Below are 1,881 nucleotides of genomic sequence, written 5' to 3'. Positions count from 1 at the left end.
GTTCTTAATTATTTAGAGTGAGAGTCTTTTTTTTTTGCTGAAATTTCTGTAACAAAACCACTTCCTTTAAAGATGCATGATAAAGTACAGGCCACTGCTCATTGCAAAACACATCTGTGCAAAATTGCTAAAGAATCAATTCTAATATTTCCTTTCTTTTTAGATTGTGCTAGCTTGTGCTATAATGCTCATGAAAAGTGCTTCTAAAGTTGCAAAAGAAAATTTTGTGTGGAACATTAGTTTAGGTAGAGCATTGGTTTAGGAAAAAAAATACACCTAAATATTTGAAAAGATTTAACCAGTCATATTTATACTATGTGGACTCCAATATTTTCTTCTTATTAATTTGTACCACAGATGCTTCCAATAAAGATTTGCAGTGGATTCACATAAAACACACAGATAGAACAGACACAAAGACCATTAAAAGAAGACTAAAAAGAAACGAGGGTCAAGCAGTGATCTTCACAGACTCCTCTAGTAAAACTGTAATTCTAAATCATATGACCTCTCTGGGCCACACCTGCCTGGGAGAAGCAGGTTTATGGAGTAGAAAGATATCAGGGCAGAAATCGCAAGCCTTCAGGTCACTGCATCCATGAGCCATCAATTTCCTCACCCGTCAGCAAGAAGAACCATGAGAAGACAAAAGAAAAAGAAAATACAAAGAACAAACAGGTCAACTGAGCCCACGGAAACACTATTGATCCTGTGCTGTGTGACCAGTTCAGGGACAATGCAGATGAATCCATTCTCTGCCTCAGGAAGCTCACAGTCTAGTATAAGAAGGAGGGGGATGTAGGGTCCTGAACAAAATAATGCAATGACAGAGGAAGAAACGTGCACAACAAGAAGCCACCTCACCGGGCCAGAGGCAGGCAGTGGGAGGTGCTGCCCACAGAGCCATGCAGTGGAGACATCTCTCCTAAAGTTCCAGCTGAAAGCATGCCCTGGGTCAGGGAAGTTCATTCCAGTGTCTCTATTCCGTCCTCACCCCCACCTGGCCTTGGCTCTCTTCTCCATTCTGCTTCTTTTCCAAGCTGCCAAGGCAACATTGTAGAAGCATGAAGCTGCAAGGGATCTCAAAACCAGCAGGCCCAGAAATGTCCAAAGCTTCAAGATAGATCATGCTCTTGTCACCCATCTCTCTCTTGGAAATAATCTCGGCATCTTCTCAGCAGACGGCCACACAACCTCGGTGGGAAGGATAGGAGTATAGAGATGGCCGCTGGGTCTGGCTTCTTTCCAAAAGAAGGCGGCTCTCCTTGAGCAGCTCCTGACTCTCAGGGCGTCAGTTGACACATTGTAAGGTGGCGGTGGGGTTGAGTTTTGAGGGTCTTTGTGGGGTTTCATCAACACTGGTGTGAATTTGTTTTCTAACTTTAGTTTCAGCAGCTTTTGTGTATTTGAATCCATTATCAGGAACAACTGCCCAGTGGCCACGGCAAATTCCCCAGCCCCATCCCAGTCCAGTCCTGAATGCTTAGTTAGGCCATGCCTTAACATTCTCTTATACTTCTTACCTTTTTTTAGGGACTCTCTTTTCCATGCCTGTGGTCAAAGTCAACACTCCTCTGTGGACTTTCTGTAGTTTCTCCTACCCTCACTCTAAGTATGGTGACAGAACATTCCATGATGTTCAAGGAGGTATTAGTCCATTCTCATGCTGCTAATAAAGATACTTGAGGGTGGGTAATTTATAAAGGAAAGAAGTTTAATGGACTCACAATTCCATATGTCTGGGGAGAACTCACAATGATGGCAAAAGACAAAGGAAGAGCAAAGGGATGTCTTACATGGCGGCAGGAAAGAGGGCGTGTGCAGGAAAACTCCCATCTATAAAGCCATCAGATCTTGTGAGACTTATTCACTATCACAAGA

This window comes from Homo sapiens, chromosome 10 (assembly GCF_000001405.40).
Source record: "Homo sapiens chromosome 10, GRCh38.p14 Primary Assembly".
Taxonomy (NCBI): Eukaryota; Metazoa; Chordata; class Mammalia; order Primates; family Hominidae; genus Homo; species Homo sapiens.
Note: the sequence above shows the minus strand (reverse complement) of the source record.